The 18,097-nt window shown below is 43.0% G+C and overlaps 1 protein-coding gene across 4 annotated transcripts in view; it reads left to right on the top strand.

The window, feature by feature from the left end:
- Positions 1 to 18,097, top strand: part of GABRB3 (gamma-aminobutyric acid type A receptor subunit beta3) — a 230,212-nt gene that overhangs the window by 125,279 nt on the left and 86,836 nt on the right. Inside the window, exon 4 of one of the 4 annotated variants that reach the window (NM_001278631.2) lies at positions 5,957 to 6,052. The exons of the other annotated variants lie outside the window; for them this stretch is intronic. The gene's annotated coding sequence lies outside the window, so the exon portion shown is untranslated. The remainder of the gene's footprint in view (positions 1 to 5,956; positions 6,053 to 18,097) is intronic. 4 annotated transcript variants of the gene reach the window in all.

Genomic DNA, 18,097 nt, shown 5'->3' with positions numbered 1-18,097 from the left:
TCATCCATGCCAAAACCTCCACTTATTTTAAATTTAGAGCTTTAGAGCTTCTCTTCCACATGCACAGTGATTGCTTCTCCCTAGTTTGCCCCACAGGCACCTCCAAATTACTCTGTGCAAACAGAACATTCTTAAAATAAATTATTGTTGAGCCTTGAAAAGCAAGAAAAGTCTGAGACATGTTTCCACATGGATGAACCTTAAGGATATTATGCTAAGTGAAAAAAGCAGTCACAAAGGACAAACGCTATGTGACTCCACTCATATGAGGTCCCCAGAGCAGTAAATTCAGAGACAGAAAGGAGAATGGAGGTGGCCAGGGGCTGGGGCTAGGGGCAGGGGAGTTGGTGTTTAATGGGCACAGAGTTCCAGTTGGGGTGATGGAGAGTTCTGCAGATGGATGGTCATGACGGTAACACAACAATGGGAAGGTACTTAATGCTGCTGAACTGAACACTTACAGATGGTTAGGCTGGTAAATCTTGTTAGATGTGTTTTACCACAATTGGTTTAAAAAAGTAAGTTTTTCCCCTTTTCTTCTGTCCACTTGCTAACCAGGGTAACCCGTTAGTTGTCTCCGTTTTGAGAAGGCTGTGGGCCACCGCTTTTCCTCCTCGACTAACAGTGGGGGAGGCAGCTGTGCCCCTGGATCCTTCAAATTGTCCCTAGTGCTGGCCAGGCAGCCCCGCTCTGGGATCCTGCCTTATCCTGCCTTTTCTAACAGTCCCACAGGTCCTGCTGTGGCCTGGCTTTGGTTTCATCTCTTGAGAACATCTGCCACTTCTGTTGAGTCTACAGACTGCATTCCAAACGGTCTTTTTTCAAATTGAAAAAAAATTCAAATTGTACCCTGTTCTGTAGAATGCCTGGCCTTGGCACCTGCTCTCTCTTTACCAGGCCTGAGTGCACTGTCTCCTTTCTATGACAAGCAAATTTACAGACCAATGATCTGCACAAAGAAACAAACTCAAAATGCATCCTCCACCTGAATGTAAGATCTGAAACCATGAAACATTTACAGAAAAAAACCTTAGTACTAAATCTTCCTGATCTTGGGCTCAGCAAAGATTTCTTAGACATGACTTCAAAAGCCCAAGTGATGAAAGGAAACATTGATAATTTGGACTTCATCAAAATTTAAAACTTCAGCTCTTTGAAATACTGTTAAGAGACTGAAAAACAATTCACAGCCAGGAATAAAATATTTGCAAAGCATATAACTGACAAGGAACATGTATTCAGACTATGTAAATAACTCTCACAACTTAACAATAAGAAAAACAAATTTTAACATACGTGGGCAAAGAATCTGAATAGATATTTCTCCAAAGAAGTTATATGAGGCTGGGTGCAGTGGCTCATGCCTGTAATCCCAGCACTTTGAGAGGCCGAGGTGGGTGGATCACGAGGTCAAGAGATCGAGACCATCCTGGCTAACAAGGTGAAACCCCGTCTATACTAAAAATACAAAAAATTATCCAGGCGTGGTGGCAGGTGCCTGTAGTCCCAGCTACTCGGGAGGCTGAGGCAGGAGAATGGCGTGAACCCGGGAGGCGGACCTTGCAGTGAGCCGAGATCGCACCACTGCACTCCAGCCTGGGCGACAGAGCAAGACTCCATCTCAAAAACAAACAAACAAAAAAGAAGTTATATGAATGGCTGATAGGGAAAAGACAGTTAACATCATTAGTCGCTAGGGAAATGCAAATTAGAACCACAATGAGATACCACTTAATTCCAGCTAGGATGACCATAATTTTAAAAAACAGAAAATAATAAGTGTTGATGAGAATGTGTAGAAATTGGAAACTTTATATGTTGCTGGGGTGAAATAATGCAGCTACTTTGGAAAAACATTTTGGCGGTTTCTTATGTTATTTACCATATGACCCAGAAATTCCACTTCTAGGTATATACCCAAGCAGAATGAGAACACTATCCCACACAAAGACTCATACATGGATGAGATTAGCAGCACTATTCACAATTTCCCTAAAGTGGAAATAACCCACATGCTCACTAACTGGTAAATGCGTGAACCAGTTAGTTTATTCATACTATTTAATCATGTTTGGCAATAAAAAGAAATGAAACACTGATACATGCTACCATATAGATGTACCTCAAAAGTATGATGCTAAGTGAAAGAAGCCAGGCACCAAATACCACGTAGTATATGATTCCGTTTATCTGAAATGTCCAGAATAGGCAAATCCATAGAGCCAGAAAGTGGCTTAGGGGTTGCTTGGGGTGATGGAGTGTGAAGGGAGAGTCACTGCAAATGGGCACTGGGTTCATTTCTGGGGTGAGGGATATGTTCTAAAGTTAGACTGCAGTCATGGATGCATGACTGTCAATTTACTAAAATAAATGATTCGATTGTACCCTTAAAAACAACTGAAATTTTTGGTGTGTAAATTATACCTCATTAAAGTTGTTAAAAAATAGGTCCCATTATTTGGTAAAATATTACTGAAATGTGGAAAATGATTTTTCATATATTGTTTTTTTTTTGGATTGCAAAAATTTATTAAAATTGGAGACATTGTTTTAATCTTCTTGTGCCACGAGACTCCATCAGGCGGTCTACAAAGACCATTGGGAGGCTGAGGATCACTTGAGCCCAGAAGTTTGAGGCTGTAGTAAGCTTCAAAGGCCACTGCACTCCAGCTTGGGTGAGGCAAGACCCTTTCAAGTGGTAAGCTGCATGCTTGCTTGCTGTGGTCATTAAAAACCCTAGTTTAGGATAACAGGTCTGCCTGCATTTCTTCAAGCATGAATTCGGAGTCCTTTAAAAGGTCTCCAAACATCTGCACCCAAGCAAGCCATCCACAGACAAAAATGTTACCAGGAGTAGAACCATTAAGCTGGTCCAGACAAGTTGGACTCCACCATTTCAACTTCCAGCTTTCTGTCTAATGCCTGTGTGCCAATGGCTTGAGTTAGGGTTGCTCTTTAGGACTTCAGTAGCTATTCTCATCCCTCCTTTGGGGACACAACTGTCCATAAGGTGCTATTGAGAGCCACATTGCATCTGCACCCATCACCATACCTCACAGGAGTGGACTCCTACCTCGAAAGGCTATATTCTTAATATGAGGCATGTAAAGATAGTTCCATTTCTGTTAACAAGTCACTATCTTTGGATACACACATCCAGATATGTACTGTCACTGTCAAACAGAAAATGACCAAAAGAGTTCACCAGAGCAGGAACAAGTGGCTTTTTCTTTTCTTGGAGGGGGAGACATGGTCTCACTCCGTCGCCCAGGCTGTAGTGCGTCGTGCAATCATAGCTCAGTGTGACCTGGAATTCCTGGGCTCAAGCACCCTTCCCGCCTCAGCCTCTAGAACGCTGGGACTACAGGCGCACACCACCAGGCCTGGCTCACGTTACACATTTTTGTAGACAGGGGTTCTCACTCTGTTTCCCAGGCTGGTCTCAATTGCCTCAAGCAATCCTTCCTTCTTAGCCTCTTACAAAAAGTGTTGAAATTAGAGGAACGAGCCACTAAGTGTAGCTTTGTGTTGGAGACATTGCAAGTGTTTTTCATTTTCTCCTTTTAGCTCATTTCAAAATTTTACTACAAACCTATCAAGTTTTCTGTGAGTCTCCATCACATGCTGATGTGTCCCTGAGTGGAACTGTTCTCATGTGGACCCACCTTGGACTTGCTTCTGCTCCTCAGGCTATGGACAAATCATCAGGAAGGCCCTGTTGTTCGGCAGCTTAAATTTCTCCCCAACACAGCCATGTCTGACTGTCACTGTCACCACTCCTCATGGGCTGCAGCAGTGTATCCGTCTGCTAGGGCTGCCATGGCAATGTACCACAGACCGTGGTCTTCAACAACAGAAGTTCATTCCCTCACAGTTCCGGAGGCTGGAAGCCCCAGATCAAGGTGCCAGCAGGGTTGGCTCCTTCTGAGGACCTGGAGGAGAATCTGCCCCAGTCCTGTCCCCTCCTTGTGGTGGTGGCTGGCCATCTTTGGCATTGCTTGGCTTGTACAAACATCACCCTGATCTCTGCCTCCTCCTTCACGAGGCCTTCTCTCTGTGTGCGTGTCTGTCTCCAAATCTCCTCTTTGTATCAGGACATTAGTCATGTGGGACAAGGGCTCACCCTAGCAACCTCATTTTAATTTAATCATCTCTGTAAACACTTCATCTCCAAATAAGGTCACATTCTTGAGATACCAGGGCTCAGAACCCCAACATATGAATTTGTAGAGAAGACTGTTTTCCATGTAGCAGGAAGACTGAGATTTTTAGTGCAAACCCAAAAATGTGCAGTATCTTCTCAAGGCTTTCCAAATAAAACCAAAAATCTGTACCAGAGCCTCTAATCTTGGAGTGACTATTCCTGCCCTCTGCTTCTGGCCTGAATGTCCATCCCTGCAACCGCTGGTAGGCCCCTCAGCCTGGAATTCCTTCCCTCACCTCCTGCCCTGGGTACCCTCAGTCATCGCTGCCCAACTCCCTGTCACTTCTCATGGTGTAATATTTCTGTGGATGTTTGTCAGTGTCTGCCTCTCTCATTGAATTCCACGAAGCCCCACTAAGGCAGACGGTGTCTGCAACATAGGAAGTGCTACACAAGTACTTGTTGAGTGATTGGAAAAGGGAAGGATCCGTAGTTTTGGTCTTTGCTAGACTATGAGCAAGATCCTGACAGTGTCTTATTGTCTCCCCTATGACGGCAGGTGGTGGGTCACCAGTAGTGTTTGTTGGATGAATAAATGAAAAAGTAACAGAAGAGGAGGAAAGTTTGCACTTTGGAGGTCAGACTGAGGTCACACGGGGACTTCCCGTGTGTCAGAACCAGTAGGGTGAACCCACACACACACACACACACACACACAGTGTCATGAAAGCTGGGGTGCATGTTGGTTCATTACGTTCTCCTTGTTCAAAGAGAATGCTGATGATAGGAGCGTTGACCTCTGTGTCATGGGAGGGAGACTGAAGACACCACAACATGAACATTGCTCCTGCCTGAAGTTGAAAACTACCCTTTGGCTGGTACCCTTAGCTGTTGTTTTTGGAGTTTGCTGTATGGAGTGACTCTGATCTTGAGGGTTTAAGGTTGCCTGGTGGATGTGCTCAAAATGGGCTGTGCCATCTCTGAGGGCTCCTCGTCTCTTTGCATGGCTTGCTCTTCTGCTTTCTGGCATCCCATCATTCTGAGGCTGTGTTCCACCATGACTGCAGTCAGGCACCTGGCCGCCAGGATGGGGGCACGGGGCAGTGCAGGAGACCAGGGGAGAACAGCTCCTCGGTGAACTGTCATATAGGGCCTGTGGTGTTGTGGAGAAACATAAAATCTTCACAGGGACAGGATCTTGCTGGCCATTAAGGATAACCTTCTTATGTTAGATGAGCAACTGACAGAGTGCAGAATGGAGGAGACAGTCTAAGAAGGTCAGGGTGGAGGTGTCAGCTGAGGGTTCTTTGGTGAGATGGGACAGATGGGAAAGACTTGTGAGATGGTGAAAACAGAGGAGGGCCGTGTGAGGAGAGTAGCAGGGAAGCCCCGAGGGACTGAGACAGACTGGCAATACCGGTGTAGTAGCGAAATCAACCCCCAAGCTGTGGACTGAGTCCATGACATATTTCTTTTATAAACTTGGTGAGGCAAATGTAATGAATAAATTAATAGAAAATGATGAATGGATAAACACAATAACTGAGTTCATAAATAAATGAATTCATTTAATAAATGTTCATCTGTTGAGTGATAATCTTTCTCGCAAATAACTCACAATATTTAAAAATTGTGTATCAGTGCAGCTATCTATTGCTGCTTTGGTGTGTGTGTGCGGGGGGGTACACTTACATATATGCTTATATATGCAGGTAGAGAGGAGGGGGGATTATGTGTAGGATAGCACTTAGACTATTTTTAGCATGAGAACAGTAATTCAAAGTGTCCTTCATGTTTCTCATTTCTTTGCAGGCTATGCAGGAACTGCACAGCTAGGATTCAGCCACTGTGGAACTAACGTGGCTTATAGATTCATTTTTTCCTTTCCAGGAGTTTGGAATTGAAAATGTATGTATACATATATATACACAGTTGCCCCTCAGTATATTCAGGGGATTGGTTCCAGGACCACCCCCATACCTCCAAGTACACCAAAATCCACACATATTCAAGTCCCATAGTCAGTCCTGTGGAACCCATGTATACCATACACGAAAAGTTGATCCTCTATTTTTGACTCACATTTGGCTGCAGATTCAGAACCGGTGGATATGGAGGTCCAACTATATTTATTGAAAAAAATCTGGGGGGAAGGCTTGGTGGCTTATGCCTGTTATGCCAGTGCTTTGGGAGACCGAGGCAGAAGGATTGCTTGCGGCTGGGAGTTCAAGACTGGCCTGGGCAACATGATGAGACCCTGTCTCGCAAAAAATTCTTTAACAAATTAACTGGGCACAGAGGTGAGGGCCTGTAGTCCCAGCTACTTGAGAGGCTGAGTTGGGAGGATTGCTTGAACCCAGGAGTTTAAGGCTTCAGTGAGCTATGATCGAGTCACTGCACTCTAGCTTGGGTGACACAGTGAGACCTTGTCTCTAAAAAAAAAAAAAGAAAGAGAAGAAAAAGTAAAACAATCTGTGTATAAGTGGGCCCCTACAGTTCAAACCTGTGTTGTTCAAGGGTCAGCTGTCTGTTTTCCCTGTTCTTTATTCCTGATGCCACTTCATTAGTGCAGGACATCAGTATGGGTCTTGCTGTCAGCTGTCCTCCATCACAGCCAGGGAAGCCAAGGGGCATCTGGCCATGGCCCAGCCATGAACTGGTAGAGTAGTGTCGGCATGGTAAGTGTGGCCCACAGGCAGTGCTGATGGAAATGACCAGAGGCAGATGTGATCTACCTGTCAGGTCCAAAGGCTTCAATCAAGGACAGTTGAGGGGCAAAAATAGAATGCTGGAAACCTTCATTCTAACCAAGAGTTTGTATTCCATAGGAATGCTGGCTCCTGCACTTCAGCACCCTTCTCCTTTAGTGTCAGTTTTGAACCTCAGCTATGCCAGTCAATTCACTTTCCTCTCCCTTCAGTGTCTTGCCTTCCTCTGGCCAGTGCCAGAGGGAAGGCATCCCAGAGAGGTGAGGGGGAAATGCCAGCTGGCTGAAGCAAGCCTTCTCTGCAGAGTCTCCCAATGTGGCTCCAGCTCTGGGAAGTCGTAGCATGCAGCGAGCAAGTTCTAGGTGTTATTTCTCCGCCTCATGTCCTGCGTCAGAAGGCGATCTGATAATTGCAGGCTGTCATTCATAAAGGTATATTTGATAATGGGCTGTAGTGCTATAGAGGCTGAGATGGGAGTCTACGGATCTTCATAGATGTTCGCCACTCCTCATACCGTTCTGTTTAACCTTGCTCCTGGACAAGGTTAGAAGAGGGTGTTGGATTTTGAGCCAGGGCATAGCAGGAGACAGCCAAAAGGATTGCAGCTTTTGTGACATCACATCCTGTACATTTTAAGCGACAACAGTTTCACAGTTTTAAAGGTGAACGTAAAGCAAGAGAATCATGACTGATTAAATTACCATCTGTTAATTATATTGCCAGTTATAAATTATAAACCCTAATTCTGATTAACACAGCAGCTAATGAATTGACATCTCTGGTTATGTTACAACTGAATCTGGCATGCACAATTCCAAACTCATGGGAGGTTTGGACAGTGTATCTCTAAGCTGTGTAATCATCTCCGCGGTGGCTGAATCCTGGCTGTGCAGTGCCTGCAAAGGAATGAGAAACATAAAGGACACTTTGAATTATTGTTCTCACAGTAAAAATCGTCTAGCTGCTATCCAACTTGAGGCAACTCTCACATATGGAAAACCTATATTTTAATATCCAACCTTACTCACAAAATCAGGAAAAGGTACAATTAACTTGATAGTTGATGCTTTAACCAGTGCCATGGTGAATAGAGACCTTTTGCTACTTTTTTTTTTTGAGACGGAGTCTCGCTCTGTCGCCCAGGCTGGAGTGCAGTGGCGTGATCTCGGCTCACTGCAAGCTCCACCTCCCGGGTTCATGCCATTCTCCTGCCTCAGCCTCCCTAGAAGCTGGGACTATAGATGCCCGCCACCACACCCAGCTAATTTTTTGTATTTTTAGTATAGATGGGGTTTCACTGTGTTAGCCACCATGGTCTTGATCTCCTGACCTCGTGATCTGCCTGCCTCGGCCTCCCAAAGTGCTGGTATTACAGGCATGAGCCACCGCGCCCGGCCAACGTTTTGATACTTTAAATCACCATCTGAATGCTACTGGAAAGTTTGCATTCAGTGGCCTCAAGTTGGCTTGGCTGGTCCATACCTCTGTCATAACTCCCTCGAGCTCATTTGAATATGAATAGTGTGAGATGTTATGCTAAAGTTTAACAGGACTACAGCTTGTAGCTGAGGGAGTGCCCTGCTTTATTAAAACAATGCTCTCCGTTTTGAGTAATTTAATAGTTCTTGTTTATTTACTGACTTTCAAACCAAAATATGGCGATTTTTACAATGAAAATCATCCATTCACAACTCTTGTTGGCATCATAGACATTTCACCTTCTCTTTGTGAAACCTAAATCTTCCATCTGCCTGCCTGATATGTGTGCATCATCACTGAAAGGGAATAATTAGAAACATCTGTTTACATTTACCAGGAGCAGATATTAGAGGAATTAAAACAAACACAATCATTACCCAACAGCTTAAAGAAATCGAATGTACTGGCATGTCTGAATTTCACAAGAGCAAGGGATTTCTATATGAATACACTATGTGAATACACTGTAGGATATGGAAGTATCCTTTACATAATGATAGGAGCCAGCAAGCAAAGTTAACACGTACTGGGTATGTACAGTTTTCCCTCCATATCCTTGAAGGATTGGTTCCAGGACCCCTTGAGCATACTAAAACCCAAAGATGCTCAAGTCCTTGATATAAAATGATGTAGTGTTTGCATATATCCTACACATATCCTCTCGTATGCATTAAATCATCTCTATTCTCATAATTCCTAATAAAATGTAAATGCCATGTAAATAGTTGCTATACTGTATTGTTTAGGGAATAATTACAGGAAAAAAATGTACCTGTTTGGTACAGACATAACCATCTTTTTTTTTTTTTTTTCAAATATTTTCCATCCGAGCTTGGTTTGACTCCACAGATGAGAATTCACAGATACAGGGGGTCTACTGTATTCTGAAGTATTCATTTCTGTCGTTAATTTTACTGAAACACCTAGTCATTTTGGAATTAACAACGGGCATTGGGTTGATGGCCATGATTATTATAGCATCAGGTCCTGGATGAAGGCAGGTCCTCATGCTGAGGCCATCCTCAGACACCTGTGCTGCCGTGAGAACCATCTGAAAACCGGTGATGCTAGAGCCATGACCTGTGTCTTCTTGCTGTCATGTCAGGTGTTGACATGACATTGATGGCTTTTTGGAGACCCTCTTGAAACGGTTTGCAGCAAGACCATATTGACATCCACTAGAATCCCAGAAGCGAGTGGAAGACTGTGTTCTTGCACCTCACCGGAACAGACTCTTCCTAGTTCCCGGCGGAGCGTGGTGGGGGTTGTTCCTCTGCCAGTGGCTCAGCACACATGCGCATGTTTCTAAATATAGACTGTTGATTTCAGGAAATAGAATTTTCTGATTTGAGTGAAGTTGAAAGGTTTAAATCAAAATAGTGACCAGAATATGTATTAATGTCATGAAGACTGATTACATGCAAAAATAAGAATTCCAAATGGAGCTTTTAAAAAAATGCCAGGCTTGGGCTTTACCTCCTGGGATTCTGACTCAAGGCAACTGGGGTGGGTCTTGGAACTGGATTAGGAAACAAGGAAAGAGAAGGAATAAAGATGACAAAGAGACTACAAAGTAGTGCTGTCAGAAGAGCAGCTGGATAAGGGATTGGCACTCAGAGGGGTCTCCGGCCTTCAGCCAGAAATGGGTGTCATCAGCTATGGTTTTTGTCAAACATCTTAGGAATGATTGAGATCACCTTGGAAGAGAGGAAGGAAGGAGCACGGCTCAACTGAGGTAATCTAACCTTTAGACCTAGAACAGAGGTGCCGTCTATCCTGGGAGCCCTGAGCAGAGCAGCCAGCCAGTAAAGTAAAAAGGCAAGAGGAGCGGGTATCACAGAGACTGGGCAGACAGGCATAAAGAGAACAAGCTCTCAGCCCTGCTGCATCTGCCTAGATATTGAGTAGGATGAGGACAAAAGAGTGCCCTTTGGGGGTCATTGTGTGACCTTGCTCTGACCAGGCTTGGACCAGGTTCAGAACCCTGGTGGGCTGATGAGGGATGGGGACTTCAGTGTCCAGAAATATGATTGACTACCAATTCTAAAGAACTCTCCATATAAAGCCACTAGAAATGGCAGATAAATTATAATGCACATTATTTAAATATATCACTTAATTCATAAGAAAATAATAGGAAGTCCCGGCTAAGAGTGAAAGCATTGTAAGCTGCACTTGGAGGATGGAAAGCCTGAGGTCTTTTGCCCTTGGTAACCAAGTGGCTTGGTGTCAGTGGCTAGGCAGAAACAGGAGGCTAGGGACTAGGCAAGTCCTCCAAGCAGAGGGCTGAAATGGAGTCCTCATAGAGCTGGTGCAATCAAAGGGGTACACAGTAAAAGGGTGTTCTAGGACAATGGTCGCCAACTATCAAACAAGGAAATGTGTCTGTCTCGCTAATGCTTCAGGTGGCCAAGACAATGTCTGCCCCAAGAATTTGTATCCCATGCCTGTGCTAATCTGGATTTGGGATTTAACTTTAAGCTGCAGAGAAATTTTCACTGGAAGTAATCCAAGGCTATCAACCAATCTGGAACACCTCTGAAAAAACATACAGATCTTTTCTGAAGGGACACACCAACAACCAGGTTATACAGAACTTCTACACACTTGTTCAGTAGATTTTTATGCAATGCCTAATTTGTGCTCAGCACCATCCTAGATGCTGCAGATACATCTACGAACCAAAGAGAAAGAATTTCCTGCACTCATGCAGCTGATGTTCTAGCAGGGGGAAAAAGGAAAGAAACATAATAAATAAGTGCAATAAATAAACCTATCATCTAGAGTATGATTAGGATTAAGAGGATGGGAGCGTGTAGAGGGTGCGGGTTGCCACTGTCAGGAGGGTGAATCTGAGCAGACCTGACTAAGGTAAGGAAGTCAGGAGAAGGTTGTTAGGGGAAAGAGAGTTCAAGGCAGAAGGAACAGCGAATGCAAAGTGGAAGGATGCCTGGGTTGTTTGAGGAGCAACATAGAGGGTGTTGTTGCCAGAACTAAGCTAGCAAAGGTGACAATAATGAGAGGTAAGGTCAGAGAGATGCTAAGTGGGCCAGAGCATGTTGACTTAGGCTTTACTTAGGCAGGGAGCCACTGTAGGGTTTTGAACAGGAGAGCAAATGATCTGACTTCAGTTGTTCATTAATCATTCTGGTTGCTCCAATGGGAACAAGACCGTGGGAGAGAAGAGTGCAAGGACCCAGTTAGGACACCCCTAGACTAGGAATGGGGAGAGATGGTGTGTTTGACAAGGGTGGTAGAAACAGTGGTGATAAGGTATGGTGGAACCTGTGTCTGTGTTTAACATGGGGTCAATAGAATTTCAGACAGATTGATGAAGAATGTGAGAGAAGAGATGAGTGAAAAATGACTCCAGAAATGTTGGCTTGAGTAACTGCAAGGAGAGAATGCCGTTGTGTGAACTGGGAAGACCACAAGTGGATTGGTTTTGAGAGTAAGATCAGTAATTCCATTTGAATGTGTTGAGTTGATTCTGGAGTTTGATTTAAAAATTTGGTTGGAGACAACATTTAGGAATTCTAAGCATATAGATGGAATGATCAGGATCAGCCATGCAGCTAGAGGCAATCACTTAAGGGAGGGAGTGCAGATAGAGAAGAGACCAGGGTCTGGTGGAAAGAGTGGGTGGATGGTGGCATAAAAAGAGGAGCCCTGGGGCCCTCTAGCATTAAAAAGAAGAGGCAGAATTGGAGGGAGTAGCAAAGAAGATGAGCCATTTAGGTCGGAGGAAAGGCAGGAGAGCATGTATCCAGAATGGTGGAGAGTCTGTTTTGCCCTAATTACAAGCTAGCAAGTTGGTGCCATGGATGCTGGAGGAAGACATGGATCTGAATGGTCAGAGACAAAGGACAAGGTTAGTTCACAAGCAGGGCCAGCTACCTAATTTGAGGGGCCTAGTGCAAAATGAAAGTACAAGGTCCTTTGTTCAAAAAGTAGAAATAAGGTGCTGTTATTCTCCAATCTAAAGGTTAACACTTGTGTTTTCCCTCCTTCGGCACTGTGCTTGATTGGGTGTATGAAACCTGCATGGTAGTTCCTGTCTGGCTACCTGGGCTTTGATTACAGTATTCCAGAGGAAAGGGCTGCTTTATGCAATGCCTTGCAGAGATGTCCATCCAAATATTTATCCAATTAATAGCAATTCAGAAAAGACAACTATCAAACTAATATTTCTCGGCTATATCAAGTGCAGTACTGTTGATATTGTGATTTATCTAACAGCAGTAATCTAATAGGTTCTGCACAGAAACTAGAAATAGGCATGATCTCAGAAATGAATAGACTTGCTCTCTAAAAATAGCACATCTCAGACATTGAAAGAACTCTAAAATGTGTGGCATCACTAATCCACATGATTTGTCTTTGAGGTGAGGAAATCCATTGACAAATCCTGATCTAGATGCATATATATGAAATCAAAGGGCAATTGAATTTTCACAGTGTAAGGGTATGGGAGCGGTCTTAAGACAGAAATACTCATTCTGTAAATGAAAGGGAGTAAAAAACCCATTAAGAAAGGTTGACTGGTACGGTTCTGGCATTCACTTGTGCCAAATATCAGAAATTATTCCTCCTGATAAATAAACGTCTTTCTTTCTGTTTAAGCATTTTTTTTTTGCCTTGTCTGCTCTCTTGAAGGGATTCAGAGAAGTAATTTTAAGTGATACTCAGTTTAGCAAATCTAATAATACAAACTCCATAAATCATGCCACCCAAGAGAGGACCATCACTATTTAAGAACATAGAATTCTTAACCTTATGGTCATCTGCAGGAGCTATGTTTAAGCAGGGGAAGAGCACAGAGGCATGGATCATCCAGCCTGATACACGTCTCACAGTCAGAATGGGGATGAATCACTCGCCAGTCTCCAGGGGTAATGTTCACCCAGTTCAAGTACCTTTGAAATATGGAGATGAGGGTGCCTTGTCCAAGCAATATGGATGTTTTTCACAGCCAGTTCTCAGAGCATCTTTGGAAGAATGATATCACTGGAGTCACTGCATTCCCTTTTGGAATTCTCTTAATTAAAGATAGTTGCCGGAAAATAAAACTATGGCTTTGATTAGTACACATATGTTTCAACATATAAAGTCTCTCTCTCTTCCTCTCTAAATATATATATATTATATATATATATATATATATATATTTAGAGATACATATATCTCTTACTTACTTGAGAAAGTTATCTAATCTTTAGAGATTATCTAATATTTGGAGAGAGATATATATAATTTTTAAAGTTTTTTCTCTCTATAAATATGTGTGTATATATGTGTGTATGTATACATACACACACAAACACATATATACACACGTATTTAGTGAGTATTGTTCAGATAAATACCTGTTTTAAATAAAGGAGAGTATGCAATGACTCTGCAGTTTACCAGCACATTCCAGAAATTCATTCATATTATATTGTGTTGAGTTGGAACATCTGCTCCCTTATAGAGTGTGAGGCATCTGGTCATTCCCTATATTATTCTATTTAACCCATAACATGTCTGAGGTTTGGTATTTGACCTCCATACTCTAGACACCATGGGTAAGCATGCTTCTGGGATGCAATTTGTGAGTCTAGGCACTCATCCTCTAATCCGTTGCCATGGCGACATCAGTGGAAACACTCCAGCCCTCAGCACTGCAGCTGACCTCATGATCCCATTCTAGAGATGAAAGATTTTTAGGAAATAGTATCGACAGAACATAGTGGCTGAATGATTGTTGGAGGTTAGGGTGAGAATGAAAGAGGCTGGTATATTGCTTCTGGTTTGGGTTGGGTTGCGTGAGTGGGCGGGTGGGTGAACACATTTGAGGCACGAAGACAGTGAGTTAATTTGGGACATGATGATCTTGGGTTGCATGTGGGGCATCTGGATGGAAAGGTTCAGAAGGCAGTGGGATCAATGCATCCAAATCCCAGGAAAGTAGAATGGGCCAGAGACAGCAGTGGAAGAACGAAGACCCAGAGGCTGATCAGGAGTGGGAAAGGGGGGTGCCCCTCTCCCTTAGCTCTTTGGTGCCCAGTTTGGGAGAAGAAGCAACCTCTCCAAAAAAAGGCTACAGTAGGTCACCAACTTACAACTAAAGGAGGCTGCAAAGGGAATGCTTATTGAAAATGTTCCTTATATGGAGGAGTCACTTTGTTGTACCTGACTGAGCGAGTTAGAGAAAACGCCACACTTTGAAACGAATTAAGAGTCCGTTTATTTAGCCGGCGGCCAAGAGACGGCTAACGCTCAAAGTTCTTTCAGCCCTGAAGAAGGGGCTAGATTTTCTTTTATACTTTGGTTTAGAAAGGGGAAGGGGGTCTAGTTAAAACAATTTTACAGAAATAAAGTAGGCAAAAAAGTTAGAAGGATAAATGGTAACAGGAAAGTAAACAGTTCCAGGTGCACGGGCTTTAAGACTATTACAAGGTGATAGACGTGGGGCTTTGGGTGTTATCAATCAGACGAATTCCTGGGAACTGCGGATATTGCTCGCCACAGTATCTTATCAGTTAATTGCATTCTTGGATGTGCTGGGAGTCAGCTTGCACAAGTTAAGTCCTTGAGGAAGGGGCTGCCGGTGAAAGAACCAAGATGGAGTCTCTCTGGCTGTCTTAGCTAAGGGAGAGTCAATTCAGGTGGAAACAAGGCTAGGTGATTAAAGGAAAGAGGAGAGTCTAAAAACAAGGTTCGTAATAACAGGTTGGGCATTACACTTGACTATAGGATGGGGTTTTCTAAAGGTACAGGGAAGAGAGAGTGGGTGGGAGGTGAGCCCTGGAGCACTGGAAGGGTGGCTGTCAGGGTCAGCTGCAGTAGGATGGCTGGTGGTGGTTTCATTTTGATTAGCACTGTAGCTCTTTTATAAATTTGTGTTTAATTTTAATTTATAATTTCAAAGTAATTCACAGCAGAAAAAATGTTTTATGAAAAAAAGCTAGTGACCTGATACATTTCAGGAAACAAGCTTGTATTGCATTTGGATATTGAGTAGACGATGAAACTTGGGATTTGAGAGCAAAGGGTGAAGCCTGCTCCAGATAATTTTGGGAATTCTACACCATTGGGCTGGGATTTCTTCACCTGCATCTCAGGAAAACACAGCACATTTTCATTTGTGGTTTGGTGTATACTCGCTGTAGAATAGTGGGGGCTGGGGGCAGCTAATAAAGAGGGTCCTTTTTCATTCAGTTCTGGAGGGTCTTCTTTCAGGGGTGACTGGCCCTGCTCTTGAGACAAGAGAAAGTACAATTTTCCAAATGCCTGTTATGAATCCAGCACTGTGTTAAGCATTGTTAGATCAATTAATGGCTACAGCACTTTTGCAAAAGGAGCATTTTTAGTTTCATTTTTACACAAGAGGTTGCTAAGGCTCAGAATAATTAGATAACTTTCCCAAGTAAGGCACATGGCAAGGGTGTCACCCAGCGAGTCTGACACATTTTGCTCCAGCACACTCAACACCGACGGCAAACAAGCACCTGCATGAACAGTTTATTTAGTGAAGGGCATCTCTCTTACATTTCCCTGGTTCTCATTGGCTTAGGTTGAATTCTCCAGATTTCTTCTCACAGTACAATGTATTTGTCCTCTGAATGTAGGTCAGTGCAATCATTTTGCTTTTCAAACTTACTCGACTCCAGAAAAGTATCTTTTTAGACTTATAAAGAAAAACATTTTCAAAATAATTCCTATCCTATGCCAGCTTTTCAGATAGCTTTAGGGGCCTGGGAGACTTATATCTCTTTTCACCAGCCCTTTCAGATTTCATACAGAGGTGACTACTTCATCTTCTGACTACATTTAGCATTTAGATGGATGAATAAATGCACACTCTGCCTTTCGGCAGGTATAAAGGCTGAAAAGCCTCAGTAACTGGACTCCTCTCCTGCCAGCCCTAGGCTGAGTGAGAGGACCCTTACATATATACTTCTTTCGCATTGCTGTACACTTAACTCAGCACACCATGTCCTCCCCATGCTAAGGACTTCAGAATGCGTGGCAGGCAGTCTTCACAGATCCAGTGACAGGCATAAGACAGTGAGGTCGCCTGTCACTTGCTGGGCCAGTAGGAGGCCAACTTGAGACTTCGGCACGTTCGCTTCCAAAGCTGCTTCTCCTAATCACTCTAATTGTACTTGGATCCATCTTTCTTTCTCCCCACTAGATTGTGAGCTTTTTAAAGGTACCAATTCTGTCTTCCTTATCTCTGGATCCCTAACACTAAGTATGGTTCTTGGCCTATGGTAGATAATCAATGCTTAAAGCAAGATGGAGGGAGGCAGAGAAGGAAGCTGTTTTATTATTAAACATCAAATAGAGTCAACAAATGGAAAGCTAGATACCATCGAAGTCTGTTGTGGGAGGAGAGTTGGTTGTGATGTTAGATATTTAGTTTTTGGTCATTAAACGGAATAGATTGGAATTTCCAAAATAAATTTTGTTAATAAAAGTGCCGATTCCCTCAGCCTAACCTTCCTTGTAGGAATGACTACAAAGGAAGTCACCACCACCTAGGGCTTATGTAAGCTTCTCAAAACAATTTTCCATCTTCCCTGACCTGAGAACAACTTACCTGCAAGGTTTTGTATCATAAACTTGCTGAACCAGATGCAAATGCAGGTGTCCTGTGGTTTTCACAGCTGCAGTTAAATATTTAAATTTGGTTTAGAAATTGCATTTCTTTCTCAGGGATGGTAAATTTTTTCTTCATTTCCTGTGCTAAGGAATGTAGTCAATTACTTAATTGCAGAATAATGAGCAATATTTCCGCTTTCAAATGTGTATTCTTGTCATTTTAATGTCATAAACGCCAAGAGATTTGCAAAAGCAGGAAGAAACTTTGTTGTTTATATGTCTTACTGCAATTCATCTGAGCTGCCTGAATTATACACCTAAAGATGAGCTGAGGTTTCATTTTGTTTTGTTGTTGCTGCTGCTTGTATATACTCAGGAGATTTTGAAAGGGCAGTCACTATGTATAAATGCTTCACTTGTGGGTGGCTCATATTCCAGAATGCCTGCTCCCGGCACTCAGGGCTTCCTCTACAGCTTCTAGGTCCAGCAATACTTTCCTTGCCTCCCAGCGGCACTGTGGCTCCAAAACAGGGAGCCTGGGCTAGTCCTCGTGTCTCACCAGGAACCGTGGCTTCTTACCTTCACATGAAATTGTTTGATAATCTGGAGTGAAACCTAACAACCCTTTTTGTCATAGTTTTTTCTATAGGAAAACACTGCAGACATCCTAAGCAAATGATGTACAAATTTGTGGAACTCCACCCACTAGTATTGAAAGCAATTTGAGCTTGTAAAACACGCATCCCATGAACTTCAGGGTTTTGTGCTAACTGATTGATACACACACCAATACTGAGAGAGATTGTATTTTCTGTGGAGAGGGCCCCCGATTTCATTAGATTATCAAAGGGCTTTATGATCCCCAAAATAAGCCAAGATGAATAAATGGCTTTTTAATTCAAGTGATTTTGTTTGCAAAGTTTTTAAGCAAGACCCTTTTTTTAAAGAAAGGTTCTGTTTTTAAGAAAGACCCTTTGTTTTGAATGCAACTCTTACTCGAATATTTCTTCATGCTGATTCTAAGTTCTTCAGAAGGCTTTTATGAGAGAAAGGTATTGATTCAAGACATCTTATCTAATGATTTTGATAAACTGTAATAGTTCAAACCACTATAATTCAGCAAAACAACTCACATGCTCCAGAGAGCATACTCCAGAGAGTTCCAGTTCCCAGTAGA

The sequence above is a fragment of the Homo sapiens genome, chromosome 15 (assembly GCF_000001405.40).
Source record: "Homo sapiens chromosome 15, GRCh38.p14 Primary Assembly".
NCBI lineage: Eukaryota > Metazoa > Chordata > Mammalia > Primates > Hominidae > Homo > Homo sapiens.
This window is presented reverse-complemented; position numbering and strand designations above follow the sequence as displayed.